Source organism: Homo sapiens, chromosome 11, assembly GCF_000001405.40.
Source record: "Homo sapiens chromosome 11, GRCh38.p14 Primary Assembly".
NCBI classification, from domain to species: Eukaryota; Metazoa; Chordata; class Mammalia; order Primates; family Hominidae; genus Homo; species Homo sapiens.
In genome coordinates, this window is record NC_000011.10 from 24,959,466 (window position 1) to 24,983,507 (window position 24,042).

A 24,042-nucleotide genomic window follows, 5' to 3' on the forward strand; every position below is an offset into this window, starting at 1 on the left:
TTCACGTCCCTTGTAAGTTGGATTCCTAGGTATTTTATTCTCTTTGAAGCAATTGTGAATGGGAGTTCACTCATGATTTGGCTGTTTGTCTGTTATTGGTGTATAAGAATGCTTGTGATTTTTGTACATTGATTTTGTATCCTGAGACTTTGCTGAAGTTGCTTATCAACTTAAGGAGATTTTGGGCTGAGACAGTGGGGTTTTCTAGATATACAATCATGTTGACTGCAAACAGGGACAATTTGACTTCCTCTTTTCCTAATTGAATACCCTTTATTTCCTTCACCTGCCTAATTGCCCTGGCCAGAACTTCCAATACTATGTTGAATAGGAGTGGTGAGAGAGGGCATCCCTGTCTTGTGCCAGTTTTCAAAGGGAATGCTTCCAGTTTTTGCCCATTCAATATGATATTGCTGTGGGTTTGTCATAGATAGCTCTTATTATTTTGAGATACGTCCCATCAATACCTAATTTATTGAGAGTTTTTAGCATGAAGGTTGTTGAATTTTGTCAAAAGCCTTTTCTGCATCTATTGAGATAATCATGTGGTTTTTGTCTTTGGTTCTGTTGATATGCTGGATTACATTTATTGATTTGTGTATATTGAACCAGCCTTGCATCCCAGGGATGAAGCCCACTTGATCATGGTGGATAAGCTTTTTGATGTGCTGCTGGATTCGGTTTGCCAGTATTTTATTGAGGATTTTTGCATCAATGTTCATCAAGGATATTGTTCTAAAATTCTCTTTTTTTGTTGTGTCTTTGACCAGCTTTGCTATCAGGATGATGCTGGCCTCTTAAAATGAGTTAGGGAGGATTCCCTCTTTTTCTATTGAGTGGAATAGTTTCAGAAGGAATGGTACCAGTTCCTCCTTGTACCTCTGGTAGAATTTGGCTGTGAATCCATCTGGTCCTGGACTCTTTTTGGTTGGTAAGCTATTGATTATTGCCTCAATTTCAGCTCCTGTTATTGGTCTAGTCAGAGATTCAACTTCTTCCTGGTTTAGTCTTGGGAGAGTGTGTTGAGGAATTTATCCATTTCTTCTAGATTTTCTAGTTTATTTGCGTAGAGGTGTTTGTAGTAATCTCTGATAGTAGTTTGTATTTCTGTGGGATCGGTGGTGATATCCCCTTTATCATTTTTTATTGTGTCTATTTGATTCTTCTCTCTTTTTTTCTTTATTAGTCTTGCTAGCGGTCTATCAATTTTCTTGAGCCTTTCAAAAAACCAGCTCCTGGATTCATTAATTTTTTGAAGGGTCCTTTGTGTCTCTATTTCCTTCAGTTCTGCTCTGATTTTAGTTATTTCTTGCCTTCTGCTAGCTTTTGAATGTGTTTGCTCTTGCTTTTCTAGTTCTTTTAATTGTGATGTTAGGGTGTCAGTTTTGGATCTTTCCTGCTTTCTCTTGTGGGCATTTAGTGCTAAAAATTTCCCTCTACAGACTGCTTTGAATGTGTCCCAGAGATTGTGGTATGTTGTGTCTTTGTTCTCGTTGGTTTCAAAGAACATCTTTATTTCTGCCTTCATTTCGTTATGTACCCAGTAGTCATTCAGGAGCAGGTTGTTCAGTTTCCATGTAGTTGAGCGGTTTTGAGTGAGTTTCTTAATCCTGAGTTCTAGTTTGATTGCACTGTGGTCAGAGAGATAGTTTGTTATAATTTCTGTTCTTTTACATTTGCTGAGGAGAGCTTTACTTCCAACTATGTGGTTAATGTTGGAATAGGTGTGGTGTGGTGCTGAAAAAAATGTATATTCTGTTGATTTGGGGTGGAGAGTTCTGTAGATGTCTATTAGGTCCGCTTGGTGCAGAGCTGAGTTCAATTCCTCGGTATTCTTGTTAACTTTTTGTCTTGTTGATCTGTCTAATGTTGACAGTGGGGTGTTAAAATCTCCCATTATTCATGTGTGGGAGTCTAAGTCTCTTTGTAGGTCACTCAGGACTTGCTTTATGAATCTGGGTGCTCCTGTATTGGGTGCATATATATTTAGAATAGTTAGCTCTTCTTGTTGAATTGATCCCTTTACCATTATGTAATGGCCTTCTTTGTCTCTTTTGATCTTTGTTGGTTTAAAGTCTGTTTTATCAGAGACTAGGATTGCAACCCCTGCCTTTCTTTGTTTTCCATTTGCTTGGTAGATCTTCCTCCATCCTTTTATTTTGAGCCTGTGTGTGTCTCTGCATGTGAGATGGGTTTCCTGATTATAGCTCATTGATGGGTCTTGACTCTTTATCCAATTTGCCTGTCTGTGTCTTTTAATTGAAGCATTTAGTCCATTTACATTTAAAGTTAATATTGTTATGTGTGAATTTGATCCTGTCATTATGATGTTAGCTGGTTATTTTGCTCGTTAGTTGATGCAGTTTCTTCCTAGTCTTGATGGTCTTTACATTTTGGCATGATTTTGCAGTGGCTGGTACCGGTTGTTCCTTTCCATGTTTAGTGCTTCCTTCAGGGGCTGTTTTAGGGCAGGCCTGGTGGTGACAAAATCTCTCAGCATTTGCTTGTCTGTAAAGTATTTTATTTCTCCTTCACTTATGAAGCTTAGTTTGGCTGGATATGAAATTCTGGGTTGAAAATTCTTTTCTTTAAGAATGTTGAATATTGGCCCCCACTCTCTTCTGGCTTGTAGAGTTTCTGCTGAGAGATCTCCTGTTAGTCTGATGGGCTTCCCTTTGTGGGTAACCCAACCTTTCTCTCTGGCTGCCCTTAACATTTTTTCCTTCATTTCAACTTTTGGGAATTTGACATTTATGTGTCTTGGAGTTGCTCTTCGCGAGGAGTAGAAGAGCAACTCCTACTTCTTTGTGGCATTCTCTGTATTTCCCGAATCTGAATGTTGGCCTGCCTTGCTAGATTGGGGAAGTTCTCCTGGATAATATCCTGCAGAGTGTTTTCCAACTTGGTTCCATTCTCCCCATCACTTTCAGGTACACCAATCAGACGTAGATTTGGTTTTTTCACATAGTCCCATATTTCTTGGAGGCTTTGTTCATTTCTTTTTATTCTTTTTTCTCTAAACTTCCCTTCTTGCTTCACTTCATTCATTTCATCTTCCATCACTGATACCCTTTCTTCCAGTTGATGGCATCGGCTCCTGAGGCTTCTGCATTCTTCACGTAGTTCTTGAGCCTTAGCTTTCAGCTCCATCAGCTCCTTTAGGCACTTCTCTGTATTGATTATTCTAGTTATACATTCGTGTAAATTTTTTTCAAAGTTTTTAACTTCTTTGCCTTTGGTTTGAATTTCCTCCTGTAGCTCATATTTTGATCATCTGAAGCCTTCTTCTCTCAACTCGTCAAAGTCATTCTCCGTCCCGCTTTGTTCCATTGCTGGTGAGGAACTGCGTTCCTTTGGAGGAAGAGAGGTGCTCTGCTTTTTAGAGTTTCCAGTTTTTCTGCTCTGTTTTTTCCCCATCTTTGTGGTTTTGTCTACTTTTGGTCTTTGATGATGGTGATGTACAGATGGGTTTTTGGTGTGGATGTCCTTTCTGTTTGTTAGTTTTCCTTCTAACTGACAGGACCGTCAGCTGCAGGTCTGTTGGAGTTTGCTAGAGGTCCACTCCAGACCCTGTTTGCCTGGGTATCAGCAGCGGTGTTTGCAGAACAGCGGTTTTTCGTGAACCGCGAATGCTGCTGTCTGATCATTCTTCTGGAAGTTTTGTCTCAGAGGAGTACCCGGCCGTGTGAAGTGTCAGTCTGCCCCTACTGGGGGGTACCTCCCAGTTAGGCTGCTCAGGGGTCAGGGGTCACGGACCCACTTGAGGAGGCAGTCTGCCGGTTCTCAGATCTCCAGCTGCGTGCTGGGAGAACCACTGCTCTCTTCAAAGCTGTCAGACAGGGACATTTAAGTCTGCAGAGGTTACTGCTGTCTTTTTGTTTGTCTGTGCCCTGCCCCCAGAGGTGGAGCCTACAGAGGCAGACAGGCCTCCTTGAGCTGTGGTGGGCTCCACCCAGTTCGAGCTTCCCGGCTGCTTTGTTTACCTAAGCAAGCCTGGGCAATGGCGGGTGCCCCTCCCCCAGCCCCGCTGCTGCCTTGCAGTTTAATCTCAGACTGCTGTGCTAGCAACCAGCGAGACTCCGTGGGCATAGGACCCTCCGAGCCATGTGCGGGATATAATCTCCTGGTGCGCCGTTTTTTAAGCCCGTCAGAAAGGCGCAGTATTCGGGTGGGAGTGACCCGATTTTCCAGGTGCTGTCTGTCACCCCTTTCTTTGACTAGGAAAGGGAACTCCTTGACCCCTTGTGCTTCCCGAGTGAGGCAATGCCTCACCCTGCTTCGGCTCGTGCACGGTGCGCTGCATCCACTGACCTGCGCCCACTGTCTGGCACTCCCTAGTGAGATGAACCCGGTACCTCAGATGGAAATGCAGAAATCACCCGTCTTCTGCGTTGCTCATGCTGGGAGCTGTAGACCGGAGCTGTTCCTATTTGGCCATCTTGGCTCCTCCCCTCCAGGTTGATGTCTTAAATTGACTATTGTAGATATTGCTGCAATAAACATGGGAATGCAGATATCTGTTTGACATACTGATTTCAAATCTTTTGGATAAATGCCCAGAAGCAGGATTACTGGGTCACACAGGAATTCTATTTTCAGTGTTTTGAGAAACCTCCATATGGTTTTCTTCAATGGCTGTACTAATTTACTCTACCACCAACAGTGTGCCAGGATTCCCTTTTCACCACATTCCTGCCAATGTTTGTTAACTGTCAGATGAGGATAATTACTTATCTCTTAGGATTAATGAGAATATTTAGATGTTAATTCATGGTAACTGGCACATTTACCTGCTACATGCTGGTAATTACATAATGGTGGTGATTGTTTTATATAATCTCAGAAAAAGAGGCTGAGAAAATGAGAATAAAAGTCAAGTTAAAAGCATTATTAGATAACAGGATGTATGTGGGATAACCATAAATATAGTAATATAGAAACAGCAAGTTTTTTCACTTTATACCCAGCCCAACATTAGTTAAGGTAGTATTAATTTTCATAATTGATCAGCAAACTACCTATGTAGTTTACAGGACCACATCTCATCCAGGATTTTAAAAGATGCATATGTATATTGAGCTGATAATATCTGCCTAAGTAAGGAACAATCAGATAATCTTCACTTCTTTGAAATCTCTTTAAAATTAATAACTACAGGGTATATTATACTATGTGGCTATTCCTCCTAGCAATTACTACCTCCTAGAACACTTCAAGTAGACAAAGGCAAAATGGATTAATAGTAACTTTTGATAGAATTTTGTCCTTATGAAATCAATAAATTCTATAGTAAAGAAATATTAGATGCTTCTAGATTATATCTCAAAGCATTTTTTTTTACTGTATTTATTTACCTAGATAGTCAATCCAGGTTCATATATATCACTGAAATTTCTTGTTCTCAATGCATGGTATAAAAGGAAATGCCTGATATTCATTTTCATGAAGACAAACATGTTTTATTTTTAATGATAGAGTAAGTAAAAGTTTCAGACATTTTCAGAAAGTACAATTTCTAGATGTGTAGTTCAGAGTCTAGAACCTATTAATTAAGATTTAAAAGCTATGTAGAGTATCAGTAAAGTAGCTGAGAAGTCCCATTAAGATTCCCAAGATTAATATAAGGAACAACAGCCTATATAGGAAGACGTCTAAACCAAATAATTTTCAAAGAGCAATCATCTAATTTCTAATAATAAAGAGTGGACATGTGAAAATTGTCATTCTTCCTCTCTGCATAATTTTCACCATTTTTCTTTGTTATCAATTCTAGACATGTAATTCAAGTTTATGAATTGCATACTAGATGTTTGATGAAATTCACCTGGCCTAAAAGTAAATTTTAAAGAGATAGTTTTCTGCTGAAATCTCCATTTCTTCAGTTTTCTCCACAGAAAACTCTCTCTGCCAAGGGCCTTGATTCATATTCAAAGCTTCTCTGGAATATCTCTGTCTACCAAGAAAGAATATCAACAAAATTTGATAGCCATTGAAATCAATGTGTTTGTGCTTTAATAACTCACAAAAAGGCTGAATAAATTATTTGTTTTTGAAGCATTCTCTGGGTGAAATATAAAACATGAGATTATAAACTTTGAAAGCAATTTTGAGGAAAAGTTATAGGTTAACAAAATTTAGAAAGTGTCTGTCTAGTCATTAAAATGATTAATAAACTAGTATGATAATTTTACATATAAATTTTTTAATTAATACCTACTGTTTTGAAGAGAGGTTTAGGAAGAGAGTTTAAAGAAGGAACAATATGAAATGTATGTAGAATATTAAATGGCTCATTTAAAAAATAAATATTAGGAAATAAAATCACATGTTGTTTTGTCTACTCTGGTACATTGACTAGATGTGTCTATTACTATAGATAGCACCCAAGGAATCATAAATTCCTTTAGATAGAGGGAACATTTAAAAATCATCTACTCAAAAATTCTTACTTTGCACACAGGGAATCTGAGATCAAACAGTAAGTGGCAAAGATAATGCAATAACTGTGACTCATGGATCATTAATCTCTCCTGGAGTAATTTTTAGATATTCTTAAGATAAGATAGTACACTTAAGTTTTCTAGGGGAAGTGGTTTTTCATTGTAGTTTTACTTGCTTTATCTGATAAATAATTAGGTTGAACATATTCTCATGAGCATTTTTGTATTTTGAATATAACCATTTTACATATAAATAAACCACTTTTCATTTATTCAATTATTTGACCAATTTTTAAAAAATGTGGTTGTTTGTATTTTTAATTTATTTACTACCTAAGTCTATTTAACTTTTCTTAATGGTTGTCTTCTTATTGTTGAGCTGTAAGTTTCATTTGTATGTTTTGGATTCGAGTCCTTTCACTGATGTACATTTTCTCTTGTTTATGACTTGGCTTTTCATTCTCTCTGTAGTGTCTATTGAAGAACAACATTTTATATATAATAAAATTATATTTACATTTTTCTAATGTTTGGGGTTTTTGTCTATTTAAGAAATATTTGTCTATCTCAAAGTCACAGTAATTTTATTCTAGAAGATTTATGTTTGAGCTTTTACATTTAGGTCAATAATTCATTTCTAATTTTTGTTTGTGAATAGTGTGAGGAAAAGATCAAGGTTGATTTTATACATGCACACATGCATTACGTTTATATATATAATGGCTGATATATTATATATAAGATATATAACATATTTTATACATTGTGAAATATATATTTTATATGCATATTATATTATATACACATATAATGTGTGTGCATGTGCAAAATATATATTTTACATTATATATTTTATATATATAGTGGATATAATATATTCATTATATCAGTTGATATATCCATTATATAATGTAAAAATATATATGTATACATTATATAATGGATATATACATATATAATGTGTGTGCATGTGTAAAGTATGTCTAATATATATATTATATATATATAATATATGATAAAATCTCCAATTGCTTTCTCACTATTTATTAAACTTAGTATTTTTAATGCATTGAATTACAGTTTGTCTTTCTCAACAATCAAATAACTATGTATGTTTTCAACTGACTATATATTTGGGTCAATTTCCAGATTCTGTCCTGATCCATTGTCATATATGTCTATGCTTATGCCAACAACACACTGCTATTAATATAGCTTTAGAGTTAGTCTTAAAATCAGATGGCATTAGTCCTACAGCTAGTGCTTTTCTAAAGATGTTGGAGACACATTTTAAAAATAGCTTGTCAAATTTACCAAAGTAATCCTGTGGGAATTACAGTCTGTTTGTATTTTATCTGTACATTCATTAATTTAGGGAGACCAGACATTATAAGAATATTAAATCTCGTGTTCAACAGCAAAAATATTTTAATTCATAGACATTGTATATCTTTCTGTTTATTTAAAATTTTTATTAGTCTTAGTAATGTTTTGTAATTTTCAACACAAATGTTTTTAACATTCTTCATTAAATTTTTTCCTAACAATTCTGAATGCATTTTTTCTCTTTTTTTCATACTCTTTTCTTTCTAGTATTCCAGTGTACATATGTTGAAGTGGTTAATATTATTGTAAGCATTTTTGAGGCCCTGTTCATGTTTCTTCAAACTTTTTTTCTCTTCACTGTTCTTCAGAATGAATCATTTCTATTAGTATCACGTCATATCTACTGGCCCTTTTTCTGCCATCTTCATTTTTTTAATGTGCATCCAATTTCATTTTTCTTTTTAGAATTTTCATTTGCTTTTAAAAATAACATTGTGCAACTTTTATGTTAAGATTTCCTCTTTTGTCAAGAACACATTACCTATAAGTTCCTAATCCTATTTTTAATAGCTGCCTTAAAGTGTTTTTCTGCTATATTCAACATATAGACTATCTAGATATTGGTTATCATCATCTAGTCTTGTGTGTGACTTTGAATCATATATACATATATTAATAACTGGTGAGATTTTATGTTGCGATGGAGATTGTGGTTGATATATTACAGAGACTCTGTATTTTATCTCTTGAATATTTTTAATTGTTGTTCTAGAATGCTGTTAAAATACTGGTAATCAACTTGATTTGTGTACGGTTTGTTTTATTCTTTGCCTATTGCCAGTACTTAAAAAGTTCAAGGTAGTACCCAAGCTCCTCTTATTTAATTGAGCTAAACCTCCAAAGATGTGTCCCCACCCCTCCCAAGTTCTGTCTAGGTTTGATTTAGATTTTTTTAAGGTAGGTTTGAAATAGGCCTTATTCTAGGGCAGGGATCAAAAAACATTTGCTGTAAGTGAACACACAGTAAATATTTTAGTCTGAGCAGACCATATGGTTAACTACTGAATTCCACCATTGTATCACAAAAGCAAGTAGACTATACTTAAACAAATAAAGGTGGTTGTGTTTTAATAAAATTTGCATACAAAATCAGTCAGTAAGCAAGATTTTGACTGTGGGCTGTAGTTTGCCAACAACTCTTTAGTGCTTAGCTATTAATCTAAAGACTGCTGTTTTGATTGCCTGTGGTATTAAGAGTTTATGGGTGTCTCTGGAGCTCTACTATCCTTCTACGGTGCTTAACCTTGAGTTTTTCTCTTCTCCTCTCAGCCATGTAGAATTTGTTCTATTATTGCCCTTGTATAATTTATTACCCTGGTATGTGTAGACCAACTCTCAGCCAAGGATGTACAGGAACACTCCTGTTACCCAAGCTGATTTTTGGGAGCCCCACCCCTGCTCACTTCATATTTCTCTGATGCCCTGTCCCGCATATTGTAGCCATTTAATCTGTTCTAAACTCTGCTTTCCGCTTCAATTGCTCAGTGCAACTACAGTGATCATCTTGGGCCATTGCTCTTCGCACCTTGGTTAAGAAATTGCCATCAGGCAGAAAGCTGGTGCAGTCATGGGGCTTACCTAGTCAGTTTCCTATATTTCAAGGTTCGTAGCCTGGCACAATTGGTTCACAGTTGTTTATAGGAGGAGGGCTAGTCCAATATTGATTACCCTGTCATCTCTGACATGTCTAGAAGCAGATAATTTGAATCCTTTTTTTAAGTTATATTTTAGGTTTGAGAGTACATGTGAAGGTATGTTGCATAGGTAAACCCTTGTCCTGGTGGTTTGTTGTACATATTATTTTCTCACCCAGGTTTTAATCCCAGTACCCAATAGTTATCTTTTCTGCTTCTCTCCCTCCTTTCTACTCCTCCTGCCCACTCAAGTAGACTCTAGTGTCTGTTGTTTCCTTCTTTGTGTTCCTATGTTCTTATCATTTAGCTCCCACTTATAAGTGAGAACATGGAGTATTTGGTTTTCTGTTCCTGTGTTAGTTTGCTAAGGATAATAGCCTAATCCTTCTTTAAATATCAAGAAATATAAATATCTAACTAGAATTTAAGAAAAAATATTTCTTCACATTAACTGAAAATGCAGGGTTCATTGATTTCAGGCATGGTTTGAATGAGTTTTTCATGTCACCAAAGCCTGCTGTATATTTATTTCTTATTTTTTATGTTTTATTTTATTCTATAGGACAGTATAGCTGTTCTCTTTTATCCCAGCAACAATGTATATTTGAGTTTAGGCCTAAACATCTTCATATTACTCTGCAAAGAGAAATAATATACTGTATCTTCCCTTAGATGAAGAAGAGACAGCTTTTATTCCAGAAAACATCAGTAAATATCTTCTAGTTTCTGCATAAAGTCATTTAAGTGCCTAAATCAATTTTCAATTATTTAACTAGAGAGTTAAGAGATAGAGTGATTGCTTTAAGAAATTACGTCTCCATCTTTGCAACTGAGCATTGAGATCTCACCTAGCATGTATGGCTACAAAAGAATGTGAGGCAGAATGGATGAGAAAGAGTGGAGTTATTACTCACATTTTAGGAGGCCAGTCCATCTCATGACTTGTTCATCTGGTTTTCTGAGTTTTGGTGGGAACACACACATGCGCGCGCACACACACACGCATACACTTTCTCTTTCTTGAGGAATTCTAGGAATTATCTTAGGAATTAAGATGAACCATGCATTTGTACTTTATGTTCTTAGAGCCTTAAAAATGGTTTACCGAGCTGAATTATAAAATCTGTTAGAATTTTATTTTAGAAACTACTACTTGGAAAACTCCTGCATCTTCTGTGTCTCTGGTAGGTTTACTATCTTTGATAATGAGAATTTTGGAGCCAACAGCATTACTTTTTACAAGCAGCTACTAGAGGTCTTGGAACAAAATTTTCAGCTCAGCCAAGACAAATAAGTTTTAAGGCTCCACTATCAGTGCTTTTTTTCTGCTGTTGCATCCCCTACCCTACCTTTATATCACATTCATGCAGCATATTATCATATATTTTTTCCATAAACCTGATATGTCTTTAAGATTTTATTACTTTTAATGTGAAATTGTCTCACATCCTTTTCAGAGGAAAGTAAGGTATAGTTTTATATTCTATAAACCTCAGTGAAATTTATCAGAGAAATTAAAATAAAGACAACTGGATAGTTTTACCTAGAGGGAAAGGGGTGAAGGGAGAATTTTTAAAAATTGTATCAAAGAGTTATTTCAGAATCATTGAATTACAAATCTAACGTATGACTGATGAGTCAGAACTTCGCAAATTTAGCTAGTTGCCAAAATTTTATAAAATTATTCACTGAAATTTCAATAAAATGTAATAATCTAGCCTCACATCCTTTTTCTTTTCTGCTTCATCCAACACAGTTATACCTTCATGTTTCCCAGAAGAAAACAGAGTTTGTGCACAGAACACGCTACTGGTGCTATCCTTTAGAATCTAGCTCTACTTAAGGTCCATTCTGAGAAAAAATAACAAGTAACACCTCCTTGGAGCACTACACTTAGAGTGAGCCAGAAACAAAACCAAGCTCCAGCTTTTTATGGTCTGTAAAAATTTGAAGTTCTACATTTTTGTAATTGTTAATAAAGTGTATTAAGAATTTACATTAAGAATGTGGTACATATACACCACGGAATAGTAGGCAGCCATATAAAGAATGAAATTATGTCCTTTGCAGCAACATGGATGAAGATGGAGGCCATAATCCTAAGCACATTAATACAGGAACAGAAAACTAAATGCTACATATTCTCACTTATAAGTAGGAGATAAGCATGGAGTGCACATAGACATAAATATGGGAACAATGGACACTGTTGTCTACTAGAGCAATTATCCTCAACCTTTGTGGCACCAGTGACCAGTTTCATGGAAGACCATTTTTCCACGTACCTGAGATGGGGTCGGGGAGGGGTTTCATGATTATTCAAGTGCATTATATTTGTCACTAGATTCTCATAAAGAGCATGCAGCCCAGATCCCTTACATGCGTAGTTCACAATAGGGTTCATGCCCCTATGAAAATCTAATGCTGCTGCTGACCTGGCAGGAGGTGAAGTTCAGCTTTGCTCACTTGCCAGCTGTTTACCTCCTGCTGTGCTGCCCAGTTCCTAACAAACCACAGAGCAGTACCAGTCTGTGGCATAGGGGCTGGGGACCACTGTACTAGAGGGTGGAGGGAGGAGGTTAGGTTGAAAAACTACCTACTGGGTAGGATAGTCACTATTAGCATGATGGGATCTATATTGCAAACCTCAGCATCATGCAATATCCGCATGTAACAAATCTGCACACGTACGCCCTGTATCTAAAATAGAAGTTTTAAAAAAAAATTATAAAAAATAATTATGGCTACTCTGTATGATTTAATCCAGTACCTAATCCTTTCCAAACTGGAATCAAAGTATTACAACATGGGATGGTATCTGCAAGTCCTTTTATTACTTTTTCTTATTCTTTTTGTCAACTCTGGTTTCCCAAGATCTCTTGGCTGGATTTTTACCAGGTAAAAAAAGGTAAATCATTAAAACCCTGGGCATGGCCAGGTGCAGTGGCTCATGCTTGTAATCCCAGCTCTTTGGGAGGCTGAGGCAGGCAGATCATCTGAGGTCAGAAGATCGAGACCAGCATGGCCACCATGGCAAGATCCTGTTTTTACTAAAACAGAACAAAAATTAGCTGGGTGTGGTGGCATGCACCTACAATGCCAACTACTTAAGAGGCTGAGGCACAAGAATAACTTGAACCCAGGAGGTGGAGTTGCAGTGAGCCGGGATCATGCTACTGCACTCCAGCCTGGGTGACAGCGGAGTGAGACTCCGAAAAAAAAAAAAAAAAAAAAAAACACTTGGGCATGAATGACAATAAAATTTTCAAAGGCAAATTTGCTATTTTTGTTAGAATTTATTCTTCCTGCCCTGATACAAGCTTCCTGAATTGTTATTGATTGCCTTTATGATGAATTTATGACAAGTAATATAAACTGTATTACTTATCATATAGTCATATATTACTATTGAACTGGTACTACTCTAAGTATTTTACAGATATTGACTAATTTAATTCTCCCAACAAGCCTATAAGTTAAGTACTATTATTCATCTTTAAAGAAGAGGAAACTGAAGCATGGGGAGATTAAATATTTAAGTAGTAAAAATTAATAAGGGGTAAAAACTAGTACTCCAATTTCAATGTGAACTCCAGTGTTCATCTCCTACCATATTTGTTTTGCTGTCTCTCTATAGTGAAAGACAACAATGTTGTCCTTCTATTTTTGAGTATGTTCCTTCAATACCTAATTTATTGAACATGAAGGGATGCTGAGTTATATCAAAGGCCTTTTTCTGTGTCTATTGAGATAATCATGTGGGTTTTTTTTCTTTAGTTCTGTTTATGTGATGAATTTACATTTACTGATTTGTGTATGTTGAACCAGCCTTGGATCCTGGATGTAAAGCCAACTTGATTGTGGTGGATAACCTTTTTGATGTGCTGCTGGATTCGGTTTGCCAGTATTTTATTGAGGTTTTTTCATTAATGTTCATCAGGGATATTTGTCTGAAGTTTTCTTTTTTTGTTGTATGTCTGCCACGTTTTGGTGTCAGAATGATGCTGACCTCATAAAATGCATTGGGGAGGAGTCCTTCCTTTTCAACTGTTTGTGATAGTTTTAGTAGAAATAGTACCAGCTCTTCTTTGTACCTCTGGTAGAATTCACCTGTAAATCCGTCTGGTCCTGGGTTTTTTTTTTTTTTTTAAATTTTTGGTTGGTAGGCTATTTCTTACTGCCTCAATTTTAGAACTCATTATTGGACTATTTATGGATTCAGTTTCTTCCTGGTTCAGTCTTGGGAGGGTGTTTGTTTCTAGGAACTTATTCATTTCTTCTGAATTTTCTAGTTTATGTGCATAGAGGTGTTTATAGTATTCTCTGATTTTTTTGTATTCCTGTGGAAGTCAGTGATGGTATCTCCATGATCCCATTTCTATTGTGTCTTCTCTCTTTTCTTCTTTATTAGTCTAGCTAGTATTCTATATATTTATTAGTTTTTTTTTTTTTTTTCAAAAAAACAGCTCCTGGGTTCATTGATTTTTTGAAGGTTATTTTGTGTCTCTAGCTCCTTCAGTTCAGCTTTGATCTTGTTATTTCTTGTCTTTTGCTAGCTTTGGGGTTTGTTTGCTCTTGGTCCTCTAGTTCTTTAAGTTGTGTTGTCACGTTGTTAATCTGAGATTCTTCTACTTTTTTTGACGTGGGCTTTTGGTGCTATAAATTTCCTTCTTAACTTTGCTATAGCTGCATCCCAGAGATTTTGGTACATTGTCTCATTAGTTTTAAATAACTTCTTCATTTTTGTCTTAATTTCATTATTTAGCCAGAAGTCATTCAGCAGCAGGTTGTACAATTTCTATGTAGTTTTGTGGTTTTGAGTGAATTTCTTAGTCTTGAGTTCTGATTTGATTGTGCTGTGGTCTGGGAGATTGTTTGTTATGATTTTTAGTTATTTTGCATTTACCGAGGAGTGTTTTACTTCCTCTTATGTGATCAATTTTAGAGTAAGTGCCATACAGCAATGAGAACAATGTATATTCTGTTGTTTTTTAATGGAGAGTTCTGTAGATATCTATCAGCTCTGCTTGATCCAGAGCTGAGTTCAGTTCCTAATTATCTTTGTTAATTTTCTGTCTTGGTGATGTGTCTAATATTGTCAGTGGGGTGTTAATGTCTCCCACTATTATTGTGTGGGAGTATAAGTCTCTTTGTAGGTCTCTAAGAACTTACTTTAATAATCTGGGTGCTCCTGTATTGGGTGCATATATATTTAGAATAGTTAGCTCTTCTTGTGGAATTGAAACTTTTACCATTATGTAATGCCCTTCTTTATCTTTTTTGGTCTTTGTTGGTTTAATGTCTGTTTTGTCAGAAATTAGGATTGCAACCTCTGCTTTTTTGTGTTTTTCATTTGCTTGGTAAATTTTCCTCCATCCATTTATTTTGAACCTATGTGTGTCTTTGCACATGAGATGGGTCTCTTGAAGACAGCATATGGATGGGTCTTGACTCTTTATCAACGTTGCCATTGTGTTTCTTTTAATTGGGGCATTTAGCCCATTTACATTTAAGATTAATATTATTATATGTGAATTTGATTCTGTCATGATGCTGAAACTAGCATTTTCTTACACATTAAAAAGGGAATTTTTGCATAAATAGTTCTATGTATTTATGACAGATAATCTTTCTACCAATAAAATGAAATACATGTGATTTAAATATAATTTATAAATTCTTGTTTCTTTCAGCCTCTGAATTTGGGTTTCTGTTTCACAAGAGAAGCAAATTAACCCATATAGATATGGCTTATCAGGAATACTGTTGTGATTAAATAAATTTTACCAGATATCTAAACGATAAGAAGAAAATTATGCTTGGAATTTTAAAGACCTTACAATATAGATAAACTTAGCACTTTCGAGGTAAAAATAAGGCCAGTATATCCAAAGCATATTGAGCAAGGGGCAAGTGGTAGGAAAGAAAGATTGAGAAGGAGAAAATAATGTTGTGCATTATTTATTATGGTAAAACATATGATTTTTAAATCAATGAATAAATAGGGAAAATGTGCATATGTGAGTTGCCTGGGGGTCAGTGATCTTGGCTGGGCTGAAGTATGACTCTAGAGATCCACCAGCTTGCTTATCCACCAGCAGTTTGACTGTAAGCTGGGTTTATTGTAAATATTTAAAATATTAATATGTTGATTAATATAACCTCTCACATGCTCTATTCTGTTTTCTAGCTTCACTTTCTTGATAGCAACTGTCACTATCTGATTTTATATATGTATATTCTGTCTCTTTTTAAAGAGAAGGATTTCTTTTTCTTCATTATTCTACAATTAGTTCAGAGAATGGTTTTTGATTTATATTAAAAGATGAGTAATATTTGCTGAATTATAAAATTATTGAATGAATGTTGACACCTAATAAAATGGCAGCTTTCCTATAGAAAATTAAATGCATTTTATTATTCTTGCTCTCAGCAGATACCACAATCAACTGGAAGATGTAAACAATTTAAGAATATAAGTTTGTAGATTATTTAGAGAAAGTATTTGTTGTTGCTGTTGTTGTTGTGGTTGTTGTTTTAAGTCATCTTGGCAATTCTCATGGCCCAGCACAGTGCCTGGCATAGTGAAGAACACAGAGATTAATCAAAGGATGAATGGATAAATGGAACAATAATGGAATAAAGCAAAGTGGTGCAAATGCTATATGTATACAGATAATGGAACTTCCAACTCTTCACATTCCTAATTTGAACCTGGCTATTATGGTGTAGAATAAGTATTGCCATCTCTAGTTTAGAAAAGTCAAGGGCTTTGCCCAATATCACATAGCTGGGAAGGGGTGGAGGCAGGATTTGAATATATGAATTCCAAATCTGAAGGTACTGCTTTTTTATTCTAATAGCACAATAATGATACTTGTAATGGTATAGAGGTATGGTAGGATAGAGAAGTGTATGGGATTAAAACACAACAACAAAAATAGAGTACATATTAGTACATTTGTCTGCTTGGGCTGTCATAACAAAATACCATCGACTAGTGTAAAAATAAAAATCTATTATCTCTCAGTTCTGGATGCTAGAAGTCCCAGAGTAAGGTGTCCATATATTTAGTTTCTGGCGAAGGCTCTTCCTGGCTTGTAGTCAGTGCCTTCTCTGTCTGCCCTCACTTGGCCTATCCACCTGTGAACACAAATAAATATCTCTGTTGTTTTTTTCCTCTCCTTATGTGAACATGTGTCCTATGGAATTAGGGCCTCACTCTTGTGACTTCATTTAATTTTAATTACCCCCAAAGTGCTCTGTCTCCAAATACAGTGACAATAATGAGTTAGGCCTTCAACGTATAAATTTTGGGGGCATAAAATTCAGTCTATATCAACTAGAAATATAAGTGATGGATCTAAATCACAGGTATTCCTAGGGACTTGAGTTGGGTCCTTGAAATTAGATGTTTTGGTCTAGTGAAGCATTTAGTGCATATTCATCCAGAACTACCATTTTCTGCATATTAAATATTCTGCACATCAAATTATCATGATATATAGTATTTTTAAACTGAATTCTAAATGAATCTTACAGGACACTGTTTTTTTTTTTTTTCTTTTCTCTCTTTTTACAATTCTTTGGCAATATATGACAGATGCTTAAAGTACAGAGGGAAATTGCAGAATTTATCTAGAAGATTTATCTCTTATTTTACAGGCGCAGCAGCTTACTGATCTGGAACAAAAATTAGCTGTAGCCAAAAATGAACTGGAGAAAGCAGCTCTTGACAGGGTAAGTCTACATTCATGAACCATTACAACTGTAGTTTTAGCAAAAAAAAAAAAAAAAAAAAAAAAGTTAAAGTATGCTCATTGCTTTTCTTGATTTATTAATGTGTTTCTAGATGCTGTGTATATAAGATAGTTACAGAATTCAGGAAGGTTTGATATCTTCTTTGGAATCCAACTATTTCTTTGTTTTTGCTGCTACAGTAAACTGACTGAAGGTTCAGTCTTTGTGAGTTCATGGCTCCATTTTTCACCTCACTGGTATATTTATTCCATAATACCATGAATAAACATGCTTTAAAGCATCAACTAAGGCACTATATATTAACTCTAGGTGAATGAGTTATGAAGCAAAAGGAAGTAATTATTGGCATCAAATTGTTATAACCAGTTTTTGAATGCATGTATCTTATAATTTATACTTATCTATATTTACTTAGAAACATGCACAAGAACACTGAATATAGCAATGTTTATATTAATAATAAATGGAAGTAATTTAACTGTTTACTGTAAGATAATTAATGCACCTATTTTTAAATATTTTCTATACTCAAATTTGGAAATAGTAATTAAAATATAATATTAACAAATATACATAAATGTGTTTTATCAATATTGATATACCTACAACATATAATGTTCAATGAGAAAAGCAGAATTATATGTATAATATTTAACAGTTGTTTAAATACACAAAACACATTTTTAAAAATTACATACAATGTAAAAAGATAATGTGTATGTAGAAATTTGACATGTATATAGAAAGATACAGTCACATAAAATTCATGGATACAATTGCGTTTGGGGAAAAACAGTAAAATAACACCAGGGATGTTTACAAAGAGCACTTCTGCTGTACCATAAATATTTTATCCTCCAATAATTGTACATATACAAGCAATCTTTAATTCATACACCACATATATGTACATTTTATCCATTACATACATGCATTATATATGTATACATGTAAACTTCCATTACATATATGCTTTACATATGTATGTATACATACATTAGATATAGGTAATAAATATATGTATGTTGCACATATGCCCATAATATGTATGTATATATACACTATGTTTAACATTATAGAAAATGATATATGTAACAAGTATATATGTATTTTATTATCAAAATTTTGCTTTTAACACTTAATTCAGATAGATATTTACTTGATATTTATTATGTTTCTCTCTATCTGCTTCTATTGTTTTTAATTTTTTTTTTAATTAAAGGAAATACTCTGATGTCAAGGGCTTTCTATTTTTGTGGTCACAGCTTAGTAACCATTTATTTGCGAAAATTAAGCAAGTAAGATGATTGCAATTATAAACTTATTTTGCAATAATTCATTTATTTTGCAATAGTACACTGTATACATTTAGCAATTTTGTAAGGAAAGGAGCTTACCTTCTAACCATCAGTTTGTACCATAGTTATTTTAGTATAAAATAGAGGGGAGCTTGCCCCCTATTTTGTGAATTAGATCAAGTATAATTTGTCTTATTAAGATCCCAGCATTATAAGATTTTAAAAAAATTTATATAAAACAAATTTATACCAATTTAAGCTAATCTCTGACCATATCCAACTTATGCCAATTATTACTTTTAAAAAATGTATATAACTCATTATAACATTGGTGGAATCAGAGAATCAGAGGCATATATAATTCTAAAGCTCAAGTAGGCCACCTTTGTTTTAGTCCTTTCTCTGACATTCCTGTACAGTCGCTGCAATATTGTTTAAATCCTAGAAAATCATTAGATTCCCATGATTCTGAAGCAGTCTGGTCTTCTCTGAGTTGTTACCCTCTCTGGTTCTTGGAATATTCTTCGTTATATTAAATGTTCTCCCGATTTGACTTCACATAATCCTTTTAGTCAGTCAATGACTAAATAGCTTTGAAATGCCTTTTTTGTGGCCATCCTATGCTAGGTACAAGGGAAAATAGAAAATATATGACACAAGGTCTTGGGTCCCATATCTCTCACAATTTTGTTTAGCACTAACAATTAGGGAATAATTGTATACTGAGACATGAGGCAACAGAAGCACAGAGAATGGATATGTATTTTCTAAGTACCTGTGGGTCATAGGGCACGGTATAGTCACAAAACACTTTATTTTGCAACTGGAATTTGGCCTGAGTCACAGAGCTCAGGGTTAGTGTAGAGTTGTTCCTCCATCTTTAGTTGTACATATTCTTACCCATTCAATGCTCTTCTCCTCCCAATTCCACCTCCCAACCCCTGTCATTATGTCCCTAAATTTCAGGATGAGAGGCTGATGTTGTAGTGGTTAAATAATGGTCTCCAGAGATAGTCTACTTATGTTCAAATCATGACTCTTTGACTGAATGACCATGTTCAAATTCCTCAAAATCTTTATGTCTCACTGGAAATAACAATAAACTTTATTTATAATGGTGATGAGAAAATTACACGTAGCCAAAAATTACAGTACTAGGTACAATGCCTGGAAAACATTCATTAAATAAGCTTAGAAGTTATTATTGTTACTGAATGAGATCACAGACTGCTTCTCTGTGATAACAATTCCCTCTTTAACCTTCAGATCTTGTCACGCCTTTTAGTAACTATAAATGCCTTTCATATTACTGGAGGCTGATTTTAACAAATCTCATGTAAGATACATATGAGGTTCATAAACTATAGCCATAAAGTTAGATAGAAATGCTAGTTGACTTCAAAATGGATAAAAACTACAGTTTAATGAAATAGATTTTCCCCTCTCTCCATCATCTTTATATGAGGCTTTTAAAATACTATTTGAGTATTTAGTTCCCAAGAATATAATATCTGGAATTTAAATAACCTTAAGTACTTCATACGTATTATGAAAAACTCTTAACACTTCAACTTGATTCTTATGACATATTTAATGAAAGAAGTCTCAGTTTAGTATCTCAGTATAAACAATAATAATATCAAGAGCTAAGAATCAGCCTTGAGTTTCCCATCAGTTATTTATTTGGCAGTATCTTATGAATTATATATAGTTGGCCTCAGCTACTGGAATATAAAAGAAGCTTTATGCTAAGAAAAATCTCTCAAACTTTTACACTAAAAATGTTTATATAGTATCTGTCCCTCACACCCGGGAAAGCATACATTATTACATCCATATTACAGATGACATAGGTAGGGTAAGTGACCTACACAGACTCCAATGACTGAGTAATACAGAATGAGAAATCTTTTTGCAACCACACAGTGTCTGGCACATAGCAGGAATATAATAAATACTTCTTAATTAAAAATAAAGACCTGACCTAAATGAATAAACATTCTAGTCATCCCACATACATGGGACCTGAATATCACTGGAGCAGAGGTCTCAAAATATTGAATGACTTTCCCGGGCTCTCTGAGCTGATTTCATGGCAGAAATAAAGTTAGGGAGAAAGTGTTTGGCCTCACAGTCTCTCATGGTCTTTCCAAAGCTGGCAGTTCAGGACTTGGTGTCTTCATTTAAAAGAGTTAAGGTAACATGAAAAACATCTTGTAAAGTTTCATTTATGTAGAGTTTAGATATTAGGGGCACAGTTGTCTTTGCAAGGTATATCTTGTTGTCCCCAGACAAAATGCATTTTTTCTGAGAAAAGTACTAACACACACCAAAAAAATCTACCTCCTAAATTTTCCACCATCTTAAGATCACATATGAGAAATACTTTCTTATAAAATTTTCATATTATACAGTGTAAATGGTAGTATTTTTTAATATATGAAATAATTTCTTATCTAATATATAAGATAAAATGATAAATATTTCATCATTTTCTCTTGTAACAAAACACTAACCTATATTCTCTGGAGGGTTTGCTTAATTTTTTATATAACAAGCGTGTGTTGTGTTAGAAACTGATGATGCCACAGATAGGATACCAGCCTTCAAAAAAGTTTGTTAAAAGTGAACATTAAACATAAAAACAACAAGATGATTTGAAATGATGGTAAGGACTAAATAAGATATAAAGGTAGAAAATATAATAACAACTTTAGGAAAGAACCATTCCTGGAAAGGGTGATAGGGGCTGTTTGCATGAAAATAGTTTGTGAGCTGAGACATACATTTTAAGTGGCAGTTTCTATATGGGTATTTGGAAGAAGGGTTCTGCAAGCAGAGGAAGCAGCATTTGTAAAGGCTCTAATATGGAAATGAGTTTGGGATGCTTGAGGGTCTATACACAAAGGATATTGTGATAAACAGGGCATTTTCATTAAGGAACTTGCATTTTACTATCACATTTTAAAACAAGTAGGAAAAGTGGTGTGCTGCAGGGAGCGGAAAGACAGAGCAAAAACAAGACTGGCTGTACATGGTTTACATCATATTTCATTAGGTGACAGCTTGTTTTAGCAAACTTCAAAGTAAACAGTAGCCTGCAGTTGAAAACAAATGACACCTAACAGTATAAATAAAAATGTAATGCCATCGTGGTGTAAAATCATCCTCTGGGTTTTGCTCATGGAACTGAGTCAAGCCAAACCTGAGTAGTATGAGTAATAGGCTCTGTTAAGTTAGAGGAACTTAATGGGCAGTAGGTAAGGGGTGGGCAATTCGGACCTGAGGGTTTCCCCCATTTTTAGACCATATAGGGTAACTTTGTGACCTTGTCATAGCATTTGTAAAATGTCATGGTACTGGTGGGGGTGTCTTTTAGCATGCTAATGCATTGTAATTAGTATATAATGAGCAGTGAGGATGACCAGTGGTCACCCTCATTGCCATCTAGGTTTTGGGGGTTTTGGCTGGTTTCTTGACTGTAATCTGTTTTATCAGAAAGGTCTTTATGACCTATATCTCGTGTTGACCTCTTATCTCACCCTGTGACTTTGAATGCCTAACCTGGGAATGCAGCCCAGTAGGTCTAAGCCCAGCCTCTATTCAAGATGGAGTTGCTCTGGTTCAAACGCCCCTGACGCTGTTACCTAACAAGGCCCAGAGGAAATGAGAGTTTTATCAGAGACAAATTTGTTTTTACCATTATGTGGGGAAATCGAGTAGAGATATAGGCTAATCTGAGAAACACAAGAATCTACATTGCTATGGCAACGATTCTAAATACAGAAAGTTGATGCAGAAAGAAAGATGGCAAGTTTCATCAACAGAGTAAACAGACAACCTATAGAATAGGTGGAAATATTTGCAAAGTATGCATCTGACAAAGGTCTAATATCCAGCATATACAAGGAATTTAAATTTTTAAGAGAAAAACAAACAACCTCATTAAAAAATAGGCAAAGGACATGCATGAACAGACACTTTTCAAAAGAAGACACACATGTGGCCAACAAGCATATGAAAAAAGCTCAATATCACTAATTATTAGAGAAACGCGAATCAAAATCACAATGAGATACTATCTCACACCAGTCAGAATGGCTGTTATTAAAAAGTTAAAAAATAACAGATGGTTGTGAGGTTGCAGAGAAAAGGGAAGACTTATGTAGTTAGTGGGAGTGTAAATTAGTTCAGCCATTGTGGAAAGCAGTATGGCGATTCCTCAAAGAGGTAAAAGCAGAACTATCATTTGACCCAGCCATCCCGTTACTGGGTATACACCAAGAGGAATATACATTTTTCTTCCATAAAGACACATGCATGTGAGTGATCATTGCAGCACTATTCACAATAACAAAGACATAGAATCAACCTAAATGCCCTTCAATGACAGATTGGATAAATAATATGTGACACATATACACCATGGAATAGTATCCAGCCATAAAAAAGAATGAGATCATGTCTTTTGCAGGAACTTGGATGGAGCTGGAGTCTATTATCCTTAGAAAACTAATGCAGGTACAGAAAACTAAATACCCACCACTCCCACAAGGGAGCTAAATGATGAGAACTTAGGAAGACAAAGAAGGAAACAACGGATGCTGGGGTCTACTTGAGGGTGGAGGATGAGAGAAGGGAGAAGAGTAGAGTGGAGTAGAAAGGACAACTGCTGGGTACTGGGCTGAGGACCTGGGAGATGAAATAATCTGTACAACAAACCCTCATGACACAAATTTACCTATTTAACAAACCTTCATACATGTCCCCAAACCTAAAATAAAAGTTAAATAAAGATGGTAACTTTCAAAAAAGGATATTTTCTACATCAGAGTAACCTAGAGTATATTTCCTTTCCTGCAAACTATCATGGTGGAAATCATGTCAGTTCAAGAGAAAGTAATAAGACATATCTTTGTATTTCAGTGTTCAAAATATATCATGAAATGCATTAGCTCCTAGAAACAGACTGAGTGTGGATATAAAAGTATGTCATAATGAAATTTATAAATTAGGCAATTACATTTGAAAAGTGATATGTATTTTTGTGGGGAGTATAGGCTAAGAGGAAAGGGAGAATGCAAGCAGATAATTGATGAGCATAGCTAAATGTAAATATGTTAATGCCTCTTTTTTTGTAGGAGTCACAGATGAAAGCAATGAAAGAGACTGTGCAGCTCTGCTTGACATCTGTTTTCCGTGATCAGCCTCCTCCCCCTTTGAGTTTAATCACATCAAATCCAACTCGGATGTTACTCCCACCCAGGAATATTGCCTCTAAGCTTCCAGATGCAGCGGCCAAAAGCAAGGTACCTACCTTTTATTTGCGCTTTGTAAAGTAACAGCAAGTAATGTGTTGTCTTTAAAGCCCAGTATATATAATCACCAGAGTGGATTCAAGTATGATAACAAATCCATTGAAAGATTAGGAGGAAAATGGAAGGTAGTAACCCAGCTTGTAAAATCTCCATAGTCACTAGAAGAATGTTGGAAGGGAGCTTTTCTTTCATAGAGAGCCTAGCT

The 24,042-nt window shown here is 35.1% G+C and overlaps 1 protein-coding gene across 5 annotated transcripts in view; it reads left to right on the forward strand.

The window, feature by feature from the left end:
* Positions 1–24,042, forward strand: part of LUZP2 (leucine zipper protein 2) — a 585,586-nt gene that overhangs the window by 462,413 nt on the left and 99,131 nt on the right. For all 5 annotated transcript variants that reach the window (NM_001009909.4, NM_001252010.2, NM_001252008.2 and 2 more), the window contains 2 exons: positions 17,126–17,200; positions 23,661–23,828. In NM_001009909.4, coding sequence (NP_001009909.2) covers positions 17,126–17,200; positions 23,661–23,828 — 243 coding nt within the window. The remainder of the gene's footprint in view (positions 1–17,125; positions 17,201–23,660; positions 23,829–24,042) is intronic.